The sequence below is a fragment of the Homo sapiens genome, chromosome 7 (genome assembly GCF_000001405.40).
Source record: "Homo sapiens chromosome 7, GRCh38.p14 Primary Assembly".
NCBI lineage: Eukaryota > Metazoa > Chordata > Mammalia > Primates > Hominidae > Homo > Homo sapiens.
Window position 1 is genome coordinate 38,357,749 of NC_000007.14, and position 17,222 is coordinate 38,374,970.

General features: G+C 42.8%; 1 long non-coding RNA gene, 1 pseudogene, 2 gene segments (V, D, J or C) and 1 further gene, besides 11 other annotated features; 1 reads left to right on the plus strand and 4 right to left on the minus strand.

Annotated features, from left to right (window-relative positions):
- Window positions 1-10,307, minus strand: part of TRG (T cell receptor gamma locus) — a 128,032-nt gene extending 117,725 nt beyond the window's left edge.
- Window positions 1-17,222, plus strand: part of TRG-AS1 (T cell receptor gamma locus antisense RNA 1) — a 37,220-nt gene that overhangs the window by 16,328 nt on the left and 3,670 nt on the right. The window lies entirely within an intron of this gene.
- Window positions 764-1,231, minus strand: TRGV3 (T cell receptor gamma variable 3). The segment is given in 2 exon segments: window positions 764-1,074; window positions 1,189-1,231. Coding segments are annotated over 2 exon segments (354 nt in total), but the record flags the coding sequence as incomplete, so codon positions are not given.
- Window positions 1,064-1,074: a sequence feature (TRGV3 leader sequence).
- Window positions 1,189-1,231: a sequence feature (TRGV3 leader sequence).
- Window positions 5,116-5,580, minus strand: TRGV2 (T cell receptor gamma variable 2). The segment is given in 2 exon segments: window positions 5,116-5,426; window positions 5,538-5,580. Coding segments are annotated over 2 exon segments (354 nt in total), but the record flags the coding sequence as incomplete, so codon positions are not given.
- Window positions 5,206-5,255: an enhancer, noted in NCBI's record as "active region_25868". NCBI's record gives its function as "activates an Ori minimal core promoter by ATAC-STARR-seq in GM12878 lymphoblastoid cells {active_cell/tissue: GM12878}" and the evidence as "EXISTENCE:reporter gene assay evidence [ECO:0000049][PMID:35858748]".
- Window positions 5,416-5,426: a sequence feature (TRGV2 leader sequence).
- Window positions 5,538-5,580: a sequence feature (TRGV2 leader sequence).
- Window positions 5,639-5,738: an enhancer, noted in NCBI's record as "active region_25869". NCBI's record gives its function as "activates an Ori minimal core promoter by ATAC-STARR-seq in GM12878 lymphoblastoid cells {active_cell/tissue: GM12878}" and the evidence as "EXISTENCE:reporter gene assay evidence [ECO:0000049][PMID:35858748]".
- TRGV1 (T cell receptor gamma variable 1 (non-functional)) lies at window positions 9,838-10,307 on the minus strand (annotated as a pseudogene). Its single transcript is given in 2 exon segments — window positions 9,838-10,145; window positions 10,265-10,307. Coding segments are annotated over 2 exon segments (351 nt in total).
- Window positions 10,135-10,145: a sequence feature (TRGV1 leader sequence).
- Window positions 10,265-10,307: a sequence feature (TRGV1 leader sequence).
- Window positions 10,333-10,422: an enhancer, noted in NCBI's record as "active region_25870". NCBI's record gives its function as "activates an Ori minimal core promoter by ATAC-STARR-seq in GM12878 lymphoblastoid cells {active_cell/tissue: GM12878}" and the evidence as "EXISTENCE:reporter gene assay evidence [ECO:0000049][PMID:35858748]".
- Window positions 12,407-12,456: an enhancer, noted in NCBI's record as "active region_25871". NCBI's record gives its function as "activates an Ori minimal core promoter by ATAC-STARR-seq in GM12878 lymphoblastoid cells {active_cell/tissue: GM12878}" and the evidence as "EXISTENCE:reporter gene assay evidence [ECO:0000049][PMID:35858748]".
- Window positions 16,740-17,034: a silencer, noted in NCBI's record as "tiled region #15414; K562 Repressive non-DNase unmatched - State 12:CtcfO". NCBI's record gives its function as "represses a minimal TATA promoter and a strong SV40 promoter by Sharpr-MPRA in K562 cells {active_cell/tissue: K562}" and the evidence as "EXISTENCE:reporter gene assay evidence [ECO:0000049][PMID:27701403]".

Consider the following 17,222-nt stretch of genomic DNA (forward strand, 5'->3'; position numbering starts at 1 on the left):
ATTATATCAAATGATTTTGTGGAAAAAGTATTCTGATTATGTACCCAAAAAGGAAAGAAAGAGAGAGAAAAGCAAGGAAGGAAGGAAGGAAAACAAGGAAGGAGAATGGATGGAAGGAAACAAGGGAGGAAGGGAGGAAAGGATGGATGGAGGGAGGGAGTTAGGGAGGGAGAGAAAAATAAAAACAAGCAAAGAAGTAAGAAAAGAGAGAGAGAATAAAAGGGAGGGCAGAGGGAGACCATGTTCAACTGCATACCTGGGCCTAGTGTTTTAGTGGTCATTATAGTATTGCTTATGTTGTTATAGACATAAGGAATAAGCACCACTCTCAGCTGTGATCTCTGGACCATGAGTGGATACATGATTCAGTATAAATACCCTTCCCATTTGCTGTCCAAAATATCTCGCTTCACAGCTGGACCCTAGTTGTACCTGTGTGTCATAGGAAGCAGAGTGAGTGGGCCTCCCCCATGTCCTAGGAGAGCTGAGAGAACCTTGCTCTCAGCCAGGCTGCTTAGCTGAGGCCTGGAGATGGCAGCTTGATCTTCAGGAAAGTTGTGGGGGAGGGGTGGGGAACAGGATGCAGCTGCTGCCAGGACAGTGTGATATTAGGAGGGAGATCAGGAGTTAAGCTGTCTTTCTCTTGTTCAGAATACAGGAAATTTGGTGGCAGGAAATGAGAGGGGGCGGCTCTATCTTGTGTACCAGAGGCAGCCACAAGGCAGATTTTCAGTGTGGTGTAGGACAGGTCTGAATCACTGTGCCTGTCCCAGGTGGCACAGTAATAGACCCCAGAATCATTTTCAATTAGATTTTGCAGTCTCAATATCCAGCTCCACCTCCTGGGTGTATGAGTATAATACTTTCCTGGACTGAGTCCTGATTCCAACACATCCCTTGCGGTGGAGACGTCATAGTACAGAAGACGCTGTGGGGCCTTCCCCTCCTGGTGTAGGTACCAGTGGATGTAGAAGGTATTTGTTACAGTAAGATCGCAAGTGATTTCAGCAGATGACCCAGTCTGCCTGGTGACTGACTTCGTTCTCCCTTCCAAGTTGGAAGATTTCTGACTGGCTGCAATGGGAACAACACAAAATACAATGAGGTATTCCTTTGTATGGCACCCCTTTCAAGAAGAAAACAAAACAAAACCCAACCTGTGAGCCTCTCTGTAGGCAGCGTACTCACCAGGAGACAGGAAAGCTAGAAGCACCAGTAGGGCCCACCGCATGCCTTCCTCTCGGGGGCCTTGGAAGGAAACGGACCAGATGAAGAGGAGCAGAAGATCCTCTTAAAACTCAGGCCCCACTCAACAAGGAAGTGATCCCTAGCACAGAAGACAGTAGGAGGAGCTGGTTTCCTGAGACACAGGCAGAGAGAAGTGACTGAAGATGTGTCTTAGGGGACTCCCAAGCCTTCCTCCCAGAAGGGGTGGTGCCTGGGAGGACCTGCAGAGGAGCTCCTGCATCTCCTCAGGCCCTTTCTTCGGCGCCCTCTTGTGGCAGCTGAGAGCAGGCCCAGGGCAGAAGGGAGGCAGGGGCATTAAGAGCTCAGGCCTCCAGCTGAGGGACTGCAGATGTTGGGTAAGCTGACCCTGGAATTAACAGGCTCACACCTTGGAGGGGGCAGTCCCATAGCAGGCTCCCACCCTGCCCTTCAGAGTTGCAGCAGGTAATGCTGATGCCAGAACCTTGTCCTGACAGGAAGCCTCTGATTAGGGCCCGGAACCAACTTCCTTTTCGCATCTGCAGACTCATGGAGGCAACCACTCAAGGCCACTCTGAGAAGGGTTGAACGTGCTTTAAATTAAAAGGACTGAGGATCATGTGTGTTGGTGTGTCCTGGACTCTGCTCTAAGGTAAATGTGTGTGTGTGTTTGTGTGTGGGGGTTGTGCCTGTAATCCTGTGTGTGTGACCTCCTTATTAGAAGATTTTTGTTCATTAAAGTAGGAGTGTGAATTTGTTTGTTTGCTTGTTTGTTTTTAAAGTAGAACTGGGTGCCATGTCATGCAATATTTGGAACATACTTAAACTAAAAACTTGTTATTTATCTGAACTTCCAATTCCCCCGGTATTGTATATTTTATTTGTCATCCCTACCCTCAGAAAGCAGACTAATATCTGCAGTGCACCTGGCTTCACAGATGAAAATAAGGGGACAAATCAAGTACAGTAATATTATTGTGAAAATTCAGTAAGGCATTCACAGATTATCACCACCTCTGTAAGAAGTATATAGAGACACATGTTTGAAATATGCATAATGAGATGGAGAACAGTGTCCCTCTCAGTTGTTGTGTTGGGCTAGCTCAGAGAGTTCAGTTTCTGCTGTCATCACAGCTGGGAATGAGAAAGGGAGGGGGCTCTGGTTGGTCTCCCTCTGCCTCTGGAGCACACATGCAGGACATGAGGCTGCTGTAGGAGCAGCTCTGAAAGCTGAGTTCTCGGGTCCTTGTGAAGGAGGGAAGCTTGCCTGCCTTGGAGCGTGAAAAAGTCTTGCAGGACAGAAGTCTCATGGTTTAAAAATGGGAAGGGAGAGGATTGAGATCACACTAGAATGCACAGAAAATTCTTAAAACAAAAAAATAATGAGAGAAACTTCATCAAAATGTGAAAAGAAGTATAAAGCTACAGTGCTGAAGAGAGGGCAATACTGGCACTAGAATGAGAAGATTCATGGAACACAGTGGAAAATCCAGAAAGAGAGCCACACGTATGTAATATTTTATCATGTGATAAAGTGATATGTTAATACCCACAAGGAAATAGTCAATTATTTTATAAGTTCTGTTTTGGGTATTGACTTACCATATGGAAACAAATATTATTGCATTTCGTTCTTACCAGATATAGATAGTGATTTAGTTGTAATAAAAACAAAATCATTACACTTAAACAATGATGAATTGCATAGAAATTCTAGGTGAGATTGGCCTTTCTAAGCTTGACATCAAACTAGACACCCTAGAAAAACTGATAGATTTTAATGCTTTTTTTTTCAAAGTTCAATTCACCAAAAGATGCCAAATGTAAATAACAACAAATGAGGAGAAATATCTTCAACACATTGGATAAAGGGTCAGTATCTTTAAAATAGTGTATATTAACTCTTACAAACTAATAAGAAAAAATTAATCCTCCAAGAGAGGAATAGGCAAAGAGTATGACAAGGCAATTCACAAAAGAAGAACTATAAATGACCTATAAAGTTGTGAAATAATGTTAGTACTCCCAAAGATGAGGGAATGCAAACTGAATTTACAAATCTCGTTTTCAGAATCACAGAGCTTGGATTGCAATCATTATCAAGTTAAAGTATATGACTCAGGGAATGTTAATTAACCCCCTCAATTTCTAATGTTACATTCAACAGTACTTTAAACCCTAATGAAATTTCTGTGTAGATTAAATAAAATATGCATGTAATGTGCTTAGTACATTAACTACCAGAATGTCAGTACCCATATGTAGCATCAATATTATTATTATCGTTATTCATTTTTTTGAGACAGAGTCTCACTCTGTTGCCCAAACTGGACTGCAGTAGTGTGATATTAGCTCACTGAAAACTCCACCTACCAGGCTCTACAGATTCTCCTGCTTCAGCATTCAAGTAGCTGGGATTACATGTGTGCGCCACTATAGCCAGCTAATTTTTTGTATTTTTAGTAGAGACAGGGTTTCACCATGTTGGCTAAGCTGGTCGCAATCTCCCGGCCTAAGTGATCCTAACGACTGGACTGCCCAAATGCTGGGATTACAGGCATGAACCACCGGGCCTGGCCAGTATTATTATTACTAATACAGTAATTATTGTATAAAAATTCCTGATAGATCAATGATGCCATCATTAAATAATGAATGCATAAAAACATTCAAATAAATGATATGGACGTCTTTATGCATACTTATGAAGTATGTGCACCTTTAGAAGTAAGACACACAGTCCAGACACAGGAAAATATAAGATTGATTAAAATATATAGAAACTGAATATCAGAAAGAAAATATAAATATGGCATTGAAATAGAAACAATACATACTCCGCTATGACAAACAGTGAAAAAACTCAAGTGAACTGCCAAAAATATTGTTACCTATAGTGTCAGGGAGAAAAGAAGAATGAGAAGTCTACAATGGAAGCTAAAATCTTCAAATGCATCATCTTTTATAATTTTGACTTCACTTCCATGTAAATGTTTTATATATACAAAACAGATATGAAACAAAACAAAGTAATACAACAAATTTCCAAAATGTAAAAAAGAAAACTGAACAATTAAAGTAGCTATATCAATGTTGACATGAACACATAGAGAAAAATTATTTCAAATGATTTTGTGGAAAAAGTATTCTGATTATGTACCCAAAAAGGAAAGCAAGAGAAAAGCAAAGAAGGAAGGAAGGAAAACGAAGGAGAATGGATGGAAGGAAAGAAGAGAGGAAGGGAGGGAAGGAGAGAGGGAGAGAGGGAGGGAAGGACGGAGGGAGCGATGGAGCGAGGGAGGAAGGGAGAGAGAAAAATAATAAAAGCAAGCAAAGAATTAAGAAAAAAGAGAGAGAGAATAAAAGGGAGGGCAGAGGGAGAGAATGTTCAACTGCATACCTAGGCCTGGTGTTTCAGTGGTCATTATAGTATTGCTTATATTGTTATAGACATAAGGAATAAGCACCAGTCTCAGCTGCGGTTTCTGGATCATGATGGGATACACAATTTAGTATAAATTCCCTTCCCATTTGTTGTCCAAAATATCTTGCTTTACAGCTGGACCCTAGGGGTACCCATTTGTCCTAGGAAGCAGAGTGAGTGGGCCTCCCCCATGTCCTAGGAGAGCTAAGAGAACCTTGCTCTCAGCCAGGCTGCTTCTCTGAGGCTTAGCTGAGATGGCGGCTTGGTCTTCAGGAAAGTCCTGGGGGAGGGTGGGGAACAGGGTGCAGCTGCTGCCAGGGGAGTGTAATATTGCAGGGGAGATCAGGAGTTAAGCAATGTTTCTCTTGTTCAGCACACGGTAAATTTGGTGGCAGGAAATGAGAGGGGGCGGCTCTATCTTGTGTACCAGAAGCAGCCACAAGGCAGATTTTCAGTGTGGTGTAGGGCGGATCTGAATCACTGTGCCCGTCCCAGGTGGCACAGTAATAGACCCCAAAGTCATTTTCAATTAGATTTCGCAGTATCAATCTCAAGTTGTTCCTTGTGCTTGCGTAAGTATAATACTTCCCTGGACTGACTCCTGATTCCAACACAACCTTGGAGTTGTAGGAGTCATAGTACTGAAGACGCTGTGGGGCCTTCCCCTCCTGGTGTAGGTACCAGTGGATGTAGCCGTTACTTCCTTCAGCAAGATCACAAGTGATTTCAGCAGATGACCCAGTCTGCCTGATGACTGACTTCGTTCTCCCTTCCAAGTTGGAAGATTTCTGACTGGCTGCAATGGGAACAACACAAAATATAATGAGGAATTCCTTAGTATGGTACTCCTTGCAAAAGAAGAAAATAAAACAAAACCCGTGATCCTCTCTGTAGGCAGCGCACTCACCAGGAGACAGGAAAGCTAGAAGCACCGCTAGGGCCCACTGCATGCCTTCCTCTCTGGGGCCTTGGAAGGAAAGGGACCAGATGAAGAGGAGCAGAAGATCCTCTTAAAACTCAGGTTCCACTCAACAAGGAAGTGATCCCTAGCACAGAAGACAGTAGGAGGAGGTGGTCTTCCTGAGACACAAGCAGAGGGAAGTGACTGAGGATCTGTCTAAGAGGACTCCCAAGCCTTCCTCCCTCCCAGAAGGGTTGGTGCCTGGGAGGACCTGCAGAGGAGCCCCTGCCTCTCTGCTCAGGTCCGTTCTCCGGCGCCCTCTTGTGGCAGCTGAGAGCAGGCCCTCTGCAGAAGAGAGCCAGGGGCAAGGAGAGCTCAGGCCTGCAGCAGAGGGAGTGCAGAGGTGGGGGAAGCAGACCCTGGAGTCAGCAGGCCCAGCCCTAGGAGGGGGCAGTCCCACAGCAGGCTCACACCCTGCCCTTCAGAGTTGCAGCAGCTAATGCTGATGCCAGGACCTTGTCCTGCCAGGAAGTCTCTGATTAGGGAACTGAACCACCTTCCTTTTGGCATCTGCGAGGACACTTGGAGGCACCACGCAAAGCATATGTTTATTGTGGCACTATTCACGATAGCAGAGACTTGGAACCAACCCAAATGTCCATCAATGATAGACTGGATTAAGAAAATGTGGCACATATACACCATGGAATACTATGCGGCCATAAAAAGGGATGCGTTCATGTCCTTTGTAAGGACATGGATGAAGCTGGAAACCATCATTCCGAGCAAACTATTCCAAGGACAGAAATCCAAACAGTGCATGTTCTCACTCGTAGGTGGGAATTGAACAAGGAGAACACTTGGACACAGAGTGGGGGAACATCACACACTGGGGCCTGTAGTGGGGTGGGGGGAGGGGGGAGGGATAGCATTAAGAGATATACCTAATGTAGATGACAAGTTGATGGGTGCAACAAACCAACATGGCACATGTATACATATGTAACAAACCTGCACGTTGTGCATATGTACCCTAGCACTTAAAGTATAATAAATATAAATAAATAAATAAATAATAAAAATGAAAGGACTGAGGATCATGTGTGTTGGTGGGTCTTGGACTCTGCTCTAAGATAAATGGGTGTATGTGGGGTGTGTGTGTGTGTGTGTGTTTGTGTGTGTGTGATCCTGTGGGTGTGATCTCTTTATTAGAGGATTTTTGTTCACTGAAGTAGGAGTGTGAGGTTTTTTTGTTTTTTTTTTCTAAGTAGTTCAGGGTGCCATGTCATGCAATATTTGGAACATACTTAAACTAAAAACTTGTTGTTTATCTGAACTTCCAAATTGTTTGGTATTGTATATTTTATTTGTCAGCCCTACCCTCAGAAAGGGGACTGAGATCTGCAGTACACCTGGATTCACAGATGGAAATATAGGGGACAAAAGTAGTACAGTAATATAATTGTGAAAATTCAGTAAGGCATACACAGATTACCACCACCTGTGTCAGAAGTATATAGAGACACATGTTTGAAAGATGCATAATGAGATGTAGAACAATGTCTCTCTTAATTGTGTTGTTGGCCTAGCTCACAGAGTTCAGTTTTTGCTGTCATCACAGCTGGGAATGAGAAAGGGAGGGGGCTCCGGTTGGTCTCCCTCTGCCTCTGGACCATATGTGCAGGACATGAGGCTTCCACAGGAACAGCTCTGAAAGCTGAATTCTCAGGTCCTTGTGAAGGAGGGAAGCTTGCCTGCCTTGGAGCGTGAAAAAGTCTTGCTGGACAGAAGTCTCACGGTTTAAAAATGGGAAGGGAGAGGATTGAGATCACACTAGCATGCACAGAAAATTCTTAAAACAAAAAGATAATGAGAGAAACTTCATCAGAATGTGAAAAGAACTATAAAGCTACAGTGCTGAAGAGAAGGCAATACTGGCACTAGAATGACAAGATTCATGGAACACAGTGGAAAATCCAGAAAGAAAGCTGCATGTATGTAATATTTTATCATGTGATAAAGTGATATGTTAATATCCACAAGGAAATAGTCAATTATTTCATAAGTTCTCTTTTGGATATTGACTTACCATATGGAAACAAATATTGCTGCATTTCTACCTTACCAGTTACAAATAGTGATTTAGTTGTAATAAAAAGAAAATCATTAGACTTAAATGATGATGAATTGCATAGAAATTCTAGGTGAGATTGGCCTTTCTAAACCTGACATCAAAGTAGACACCATAGAAAAATTGATAGATTTTGTTTTTTTCAAAGTTCAATTCTCCAAAAGGTGCCAAATGTAAATAATAACAAATGAGGAGAAATATCTTCAACACATTGGATAAAGGGTCAGTATCTCTAAAATGGTGTATATTAATTCTTACGAACCAATAAGAAAAAACTAATCCTCCAATAGAAGAATAGGAAAAGAGTGTACAAGGCAATTCTCAAAAGAAGAAATATAAATGAACTGTAAAGTTGTAAAATGATGCTAGTACTCCTACGATGGGGGAATGCAAACCGAATTAACAAATCTCATTTTCTGAACCACAGAGCTTGGATTGCAATCATTATCAAATTAAAGTATATGACTTAGGGAATGTTAATTAACCCCCCAATTTCTAATGTTACATTCAACAGTACTTTAAATCCTTAATGAAGTTTCTGTGTAGATTAAATACAATATGCATGCAATGTGCTTAGTACATTAACTACCAGAATGTCAGTACCCATATTTACCATCAATATTATTATTATTATTAGTCTTTTTGAGACAGAGTCTCACTGTGTTGCCCAAACTGGACTGCAGTAGTGTGATATTAGCTCACTGAAAACTCCACCTTCTAGGCTCAAGAGATTCTCCTGCTTCAGCATCCAAGTAGCTGGGATTACATGTGTGCACCGCCACAGCCAGCTAATTTTTTGTATTTTTAGTAGAGACAGGGTTTCACCATGTTGGCTAAGCTGGTCGCAATCTCCCGGCCTAAGTATTCCTAACGACTGTACTACTCAAATGCTGGGATTACAGGCATGAGCCACCGGGCCTGGCCAGTATTATTATTACTAATACAGTAATTATTGTATAAAAATTCCTGATAGATCAATGATGCCATCATTAAATAATCAACACATAAAAACATTCAAATAAATGATATGGACGTCTTTATGCATACTTATGAAGTATGTGCACCTTTAGAAGTAAGACACACAATCCAGACACGGGAAAATATAAGATTGATTAAAATGTATAAAAACCAAATATAGGAACAAAAATATAAATATGGCATTGAAATAGAATTGATACATACTGCGCTATGACAGAGTGAAAAAGTTCAAGAAAACGGATAAAAATATTGTTACCTATAGTGTCAGGGAGAAAAGAGGAATGAGAAGTCTACAATGGAAGCTAAAATCTTCAAATGTGTCATCTTTTATAATTTTGACTTCAGTTCCAACTAAATGTTTTACGTATACAAAACAAATATGAAACAAAACAAAATAATACACAAATTTCCAAAATATAAAAATGAAACTGAACAATTAAAGCAGCTATATCAATGTTGGCATGAACAAATAGAGAAAAACTATTTCAAATGATTTTGTGGAAAAAGTATTGTGATTATGTACACAAAAAGGAGAGAAAGAGAGAAAAGCAAGGAAGGAAGGAAGGAAAGAAAGGAAGGAGGGTGGGGTGATGGAAGGAAAGGAGGAAGGGAGGGAGGGAGAGAAAATGATAAAAGCAAGCATGGAAGTAAGAAAGGAGAGCGAGAATAAAAGGGAGGGCAGAGAGAGAGAATGTTCAACTGCATATATTGGCCTAGTGTTTTAGTGGTCATTATAGTATTGCTTATATTGTTATAGACATAAGGAATAAGCACCACTCTCAGCTGCGATCTCTGGACCATTATTGGATGTATGATTCAGTATGAATACCCTTCCCATTTTTGTCCAAAATGTCTTGCTTCACAGCTGGACCCTAGCTGTACCTGTCTGTCCTAGGAAGCAGAGTGAGTGGGCCTTCCCCATGTTCTAGGAGAGCTGAGAGAAACTTGCTCTCAGCCAGGCTGCTTAGCTGAGGCTTGGAGGTGGCAGCTTGGTCTTCAGGAAAGTCCTGGGGGAGGGTGGGGAACAGGGTGCAGCTGCTGCCAGGGGAGTGTGATATTGCAGGGGAGATCAGGAGTTAAGCTGTGTTTCTCTTTGTACAGAATACAGTAAATTCAGGGCAGGAAATGAGAGTTGGCTGGTCTATCTTGTGTACCAGAAGCAACCACAGGCAGATTTTCAGTGTCTGAATCACTGTGCCTGTCCCAGGTGGCACAGTAATAGAACCCAGAATCATTTTTAATTAGATTTTGCAGTCTCAAATTCCAATTGCTCCTTGTGCTTCCAGTGTCATACTTTCCTGGAGTGATTCCTGATTCCAGCACAACCCTGGAGTAGTAGGGTTCATAGTACAGAAGACACTGTGGGGCCTTCCCCTCCTGGTGCAGGTACCAGTGGATGTATAAGGTACTTGCTCCAGGAAGATCACAGGTGATTTCAGCAGATGACCCAGTCAGCCTGGTGACTGACTTCGTTCTCCCTTCCAAGTTGGAAGATATCTGACTGGCTGCAATGGGAACAACACAAAATATAATGAGGCATTTCTTAGTATGTCGCTCCTTGCAAAAGAAGAAAATAACAAAACAAAACAAAACCCGTGATCCTCTCTGTAGGCAGCGCACTCACCAGGAGACAGGAAAGCTAGAAGCACCGCTAGGGCCCACCGCATGCCTTCCTCTCTGGGGCCTTGGAAGGAAAGGGACCAGATGAAGAGGAGCAGAAGATCCTCTTAAAACTCAGGCCCCACTCAACAAGGAAGTGATCCCTAGCACAGAAGACAGTAAGAGGAGCTGGTCTTCCTGAGTCACAGGCAGGGAGAAGTGACTGAGGATGTGTCTTAGGGGACTCCCAAGCCTTCCTCCCAGAAGCGGTGGTTCCTGGGAGGACCTGCAGAGGAGCTCCTGCCTCTCTGCTCAGGCCCGTTCTCCATCGCCCTCTTGTGGCAGCTGAGAGCAGGCCCTCTTCAGGAGAGAGCCAGGGGCATGGATTGCTCAGGCCCACAGCAGAGGGAGTGCAGATGTGGGGGAAGCTGACCCTGGCGCTAGCTGGTCATGGCCCTTGGGAGAGGGCAGTCCCACAGCAGGCTCACATCCTGCACTTCAGAGTTTCAGCAGCCAACGCAGCTGCCAGAACCTGGTCCTGCCAGGAAGCTTCTGATTAGGGCCCTGAACCACCTTCCTTTTCACATTTGCAAGTCCACATTTGCAAGTCCACCCAGGGCCATTCTGAGAAGGCTTGAGCCTGCTTTATTAACAGGACTGAGGGTCAGGCATGTTGGTTTGCCTTGGACTCTACTCAAATAAAAACAACGGCAGTGGCTCTCACTAACCATCGGTAGGACATTTTAAGCACCAAAAGAATAACACCTACACAAATTCTTGAAAAACATAATATAGCAAAATAAAGTCTCCTCTGGAGGTTGCTAAGACACCATCTCATTCTGAAAACAGAAAAGAAAATAATCAAGCATTTACCTTGCCATTTCTGTACAAACATTTTAGAATACCACAGAGCTTAAGAATGAAAGTTCTTTTTTTTTTTCTTTAGATAGATAGAGTCTCGCTCTGTGTCTCAGACTGGAGTGCAGTGGCACAATCTCAGCTCACTGCAATCTCCACCTCCGGGGTTCAAGCAATTCTCCTGCCTCAGCCTCCCAAGTAGCTGGGATTACAGGCACGCGCCACCACACCTAGCTAATTTTTATATTTTTCATAGAGATGGGGTTTCACCATGTGGGCCAGGCTGGTCTTGAACTCCTGACCTCAAGTGATCCACCCACCTCGGCCTCCCAATGTGCTGGGATTACAGGTGTGAGCCACTGTGCCTGGCCGAATGAAAGTTCTTTTGTGGAAGTATTACAACCAATAAATTTAGGAGAAATGTTAAAATGAGAATATTAGCATTATGCAACCGTAATGATATGTTGAATTTAGACAACTACCATGAATTGCTTTATAGCTTTCACGTGCCCTGGCTCTATTTCTCTCTCTACTATTCTATTTCTCTATCTCCTGCATTGCTTTCTATCACTATGTCCTTCCATCTCCGTCTTTATGTCCATATTTCTTTTTTCTCTGTCCCGTTTTTGTTCCTCCCTTTACATTTTTCCTTCTATAGCTCCCTCTTACAGCTCTCAGTCTCCTCTATTTTGCTTTAGTGCTCCTGTTTCTTACTCTGTTCATATCTTTATGTTTCTGTCTCTCTATCTGCCTATCTCTATTCATCTCTTTTTCTATTTCTCTATTTGTATCTCTCCTATCTATTTACTTTCTACCTCCTTCTCTCCTCCTCTCTTTCCATTTCTTCCTGTGGTCACTATAGCTCCTTTAAAGTCTTTGTTATTCCAACACCTGTGTCGTGTCAGGATTAGCATCTGTTGTTTGGCTTTTCCGTTTGGAGATGCTAAGATTTTCCTCGTCCTCCACATGCGGAGTAATTTCGGATTAAATCCTGTACACTTTGAATATCATGTTATAGAGCTCTGGGCATTGTTTAAATATTACACAGAATGTGGAGGGGGTTTTTTTGTTAGCAGGCAACTGACGCAGTTAGGGATTACAACTTCCTACTGGTGTTTGGTGGGCAGTTCCAGTCAGTTCCGTTTTCCAGCCTTTGCAGTACTTGTCTTGTCAGACCTGTCCTGTGTGTGCGCCACCCAGTGGCCATTCTAGGACCTGGGCAGTGCCTACTCCTGCTTCGGTTTGCAAGGCCTTTGGCTTTGGAGCTGTTTAGGGTCACGTTTATGCATGCACAGCTAGTGGGTGAGCCCAGGAGTCCAGACATCATTGCATGATGTTTCTTGCTTAATCTTCTTTCTCTCTGCAAGCTCTGCAATACTTTCTAGTTCACAGGAAATGCCCCTCCAGTCGTCTGGCCAGACAGGTGTGGCTTTAGCACACTGCATTTCCCACCATTGTGTCTCCCTCCAGGGCCAAGTGGTGAGAGGATAGAGAACAAAAACCACCAGGATTCTCTCTCAGGGCCACAGCTTCCCTGGTCAGAGAGAAGGATCCCTTTCCTAAGAGCTTTAGGCTCCTGGCTCACCATAGCTGCTGCCACTGCCACTCAGATTGCCTGGGGGCTGCGAGAGAATGGAAAAGGACAAAAAACAGAAAACCAGGGCTCTCTGACCACAGAGAGTCCCCCTTTCTCTCTGTCCTCACCTGGTGTACAGTTCTGCATTTCAGATTATCTTTGTACATATACTCTGATTATCTGAGTACAGGCCAGGGGATAATTGAGGAAAAATAAATAAGAAACTTACTGGGAATTCATAGTGCTTCACTTTCCGATTTCCTTCTCCAGTTGACTTGCTATCATTTATTTTTCAAAGTCCTCAGATTCAGGGTTCATAGTTGCATTTGTGAGCCAGACAAGGCAGTGTGGGCTCACTGCAAATTTTCCAGAAGTGGAACTCATTCTTGATAAGTCAAAGCTCCTTCGATTAAGAGGCGCCGTTTATGCCCCCCGCCTTTTTTTTTTTTTAAATACAAGAAGAACTCATAGGGCTCCAGTTCTGAATTGAGGCTTCAAGTGGCCTGATGTGCTTCTGCTAGCTCTTTGCTTTCTGTCATTGTCATTAGAACAAATCCAGGCTAGCCTGTTGGAGGATGAAACCCTGTGTGTAGTGGAGCTGATTTATTCAGACCCAGGCACTTTGACCAGGCAGTCCCCCTCCCAGCTAACCCAGCAGCTGCCTGACATGTGGCCAAGCCCAGCCAAGATCAGATGAGCTTGGTTTAGATCAGCAGAACAGTCTAGCAAACCTACGCATTTGTAAGAATTTGTAGATGATTATTGTGCTAAGCCACTGAGTTTGGGATATTTGCTACATGGCGTTATTGTGGCAATAGTATGGATAGACAGACAGACAGATAGAATATATGAAGAGAAAAGGAAAGCTAGAAATACATATAATTTTTTTTTTTTGAGACGGAATCTCGCTCTGTCGCCCAGGCTGGAGTGCAGTGACGCGATCTTGGCTCACTGCAAGCTCCACCTCCCTGGTTCATGCCATTCTCCTACCTCAGCCTCCCGAGTAGCAGGGATTACAGGTGCCCGCCACCACACCCGGCTAATTTTTTGTATAGAAATATATATAATATTTTATATATAACATATTATACATGTATAAATACATTTATGTATATTTTTACAATATATAAATATGCATATTTCTTTGTTTTTTCTCTTTATATATATTTTTCTATCTCAATATTTACCATTATTTCTGTATATTTATCTCTATCTTCCTAACACTGCCGCACTCTGTGTGTCCACGTGTATGCTTCTGTCTCCACAGGTCTATCGTTCTCTCTCTCTCCCTATCTCTCCCCCTAACTCCAGTTCTCTCTTCTTGTATCTTTCCCTATTTCTCTGTCTCTCTCCATCACTGTCCCTGTCCCTGTCGCTATATTTATATCACAGTTTCTCTCTCTTCTCTGTTGTTTTCTCTCTCTCCATCTTCCCTCCCTCTCTCGCTGTCTCTCTGTCCCTTTGTCTCTCACCCTCTCTCTGTGTTTTGTATTTCTTTCTCTGTTTTCTCTCTCTCTCCCCCGCCATGATAGAGAACTATACCTCTCCACGTGTCTCTGTCTCTTGCTCTTTTTGCTTGTATGGCCACTGTCCTAGTCATTTTCTTTCCTTCTCACTTCCACTCTGCTCTCTGTCCCTCTTCAACTTTCTACTTTCTGTTGCCGTCACTGTCTCTATATCATGCCCTCTCCCTCTTCATATGAACACTCTGTCCCCTCTTGTGTCTCTCCTTTTGTCTCTATCAAGTCCTCCTTGCCAGTCTTCTGGGGTCCTGAGGGTGTGATCTGCTCACTATGGTGGGAGAGAGGTGCAAACTCACAGATGTAAATGTTCTTCTGCTTCTCCTCGTAATTGTACCTTTACATATCAAGAGGTCAGCATTATGATGATGATGATAGAAGAATTGTTTAAAAAAATAGCACTGCCTTGGGGAGAAAGTTCTAGTGCGCAGACAATTGCTTGTATTTCTATTTCAGTCTGCTGTGAGATGTTCCCTAGCAACACTATGGGAAACAATCTGCTTACCATGAATTATTAGAATTTCCTCACCTCTAAATGGTTGTCTGGGCTCTCTGTATCACTTTGTGACCGCAGTGACGCAGGTCAATAGTGTTTTCAATGAGCTTAAGGGGGCACACACCTCAGTATCAAGAGCACACAGCACAAGGCCTGGAACGTAGTAGGCATTTAATGTGTATCAATGAGGCTGGGCACGGTGGCTCATGCCTGTAATCCCGGCACTGTGGGAGGCCGAGGCAGGCAGATCAGTTAAGCCCAGGAGTTCCAGACCAGCCTGAGCAACATGGTGAAACCCAGTCTCCACAAAAAATACAAAAATTTAGCTGCACGTGATGGCACACGCCTGTAGTCCCAACTACTTGGGAGGCTGAGGTGGGAGGATCCCTTGAGTCTGGGAGGTCAAGTCTGTAGTGAGCTGTGATCGTGCCACCGCACTCCAGCCTGGGCAACAGAGTGAGACCCTGTATCAAATATATGTATATTTGGATGGGATAAATGATCAGGTGTGTAGTTTAGAAGGCTATTATAAGGGTGTCAATAAGGCTGAATTATATAACATATATTCTTTCCATAGAAAATTAAAAGGAAAAATGAAAAATTCTGCAAAGAACAGGGTTTGTATATGCTCAGTCTGGGCTGGGGCATAGATGGGAATGAGTAACTCATGCACATCATCACTGATCATCCCGGGCTAAAATAGGAGTGGACAATGGAGAAGATACGAAGCCAGAGTGGATGGATGAAGGGTCCCCAGTTTACGTTCCTGTGTCCTGTGCTGCTCACTGGCCGCTGCATGTTCCCAGAAGACAGCAGCATCTCCTGCCAGTGCTGTGGCCAGGCGGTGTCAGGCATCGTTTCCAGGGAAGTTAAGTGTGTCCCAGAAACCTCAGCCAAAGCTTCACTTCCTGCCTGCTCTTCTTACAGGCCCTGTGGCTGCCTGGTGCCCTGGGAATGGTCCGGTCATGGGCCTCAGCCCAGGATGAGCAGCCAACAATGCAATCCCACGAAGAGTGTGCGGAAGGGAGAGGTTACTTCTCAAGATGGAGCTGCCAAATAGGGACACTTTGGAGAGTCTGGCCTGAGAACTTTTAGTTTCAAGAATGTATTGCTTTGGAAAAGACAGAATAAAAGTCCAAGCACTGCCACTTAGAGGTTGTATGTCCTTGGGAAAGTCACTGTACTTGGCAATTATAACCTTTACCCTGGATACACCATTCATCTCCTGGGGCCAGGGGTTGTGCCACCTTGTTCATTTCTAAACTAAATGATATCTAAGCTAGTCTTTACCACAGTTTAATTCTTACAATAATACTCCAAAGGAGATATAATCAACCACATTTCACAGATGAGAGAGTTGGAATCTTAAAAAGGTTAAACTCTTCGAGGTCATTTGACGAATAAATAATGGAGCCTGGATTTCAACTGAAGTCTAACAAATTCCAAAATCCTGGCTACCGGCCATTTATATTCGTGTGTGTGTGTATATATATATATATAAATTATATAACATATATACATATATCATATGTATATATATTATATATATTTCTTTTTAAGTTATAAAGTATAAGAGACCATGAAGAAAATTTCAGAAAGATTTTAGAAACTCAAGGGTCACTCTCAGCTGCCAGTAAGAAAACAACCTAAGATACTGTTGAATAGTATTCATTCAGTTAATTATGGTGGACCTCAAAAAGTCATAGGAATTTCCTCTAGCACTGTTAAGTAAATAGTTAATGGCCTTTTATTAAAAGACTAATTTTTAAAGTCATAGCAGAAATTCTTGATCCATTAAATGATAGCAAATACCCTTTGAGTGTCAAACATTGTATATATTTATTCTTTTCTTGCAAGCAGAAAATAGGTGTTACTTATCCCCATTTTTCAGATGAAATTGAAGCTTACAGAGAGGTTAAATAACTCCTCGAGGTCACCTAGCTAATAAACAGCACACCAAGAATTTGAACCAAACAGACAAGTCTCCAGAGCCTGTACCATAAGGGAACTGCTTGGCTGTTTATGATTCAGGGATTAATTTCTGTCTTCATGAAGCTGCTGCATTTTGATACAAAATGTTATATTTCCGATTTGATTTCAACTCCCAGCTTCATGCTTTAAAAGAAGTAGTGTTTTGACTGCATTTAGTTATTTGTACAAACCTGTAGCACCCCCTCCTGGCCATTCGAGGTATACCATACATGTTATATTACCCCAATATTAGACCCCAACGAATGGCAAAGACTTCGTATAACGAATGGAAAGGTCCCCAAATGCAAGGCAGGTTCCAACTGCACACCTTATGTGCTTGATAGTTTTAGGCAAGAGACTCCTTCTTGCAGGGCTGTCATTTCCCCCGCCTCAAAATCAGAGGAGTGGGTGATGTTTTTGGTCTCTTCTAGTTCTAATTGTGATTCTGAATTGAATTGATAAACTGGATATTGAAGGAATAGGTGTGGTGAAATGAAAAATGGAAGCTTCTAGTTTTTATTTTGATCCAACAATAATGCATGTTATTTGCTTCCTCTTGACT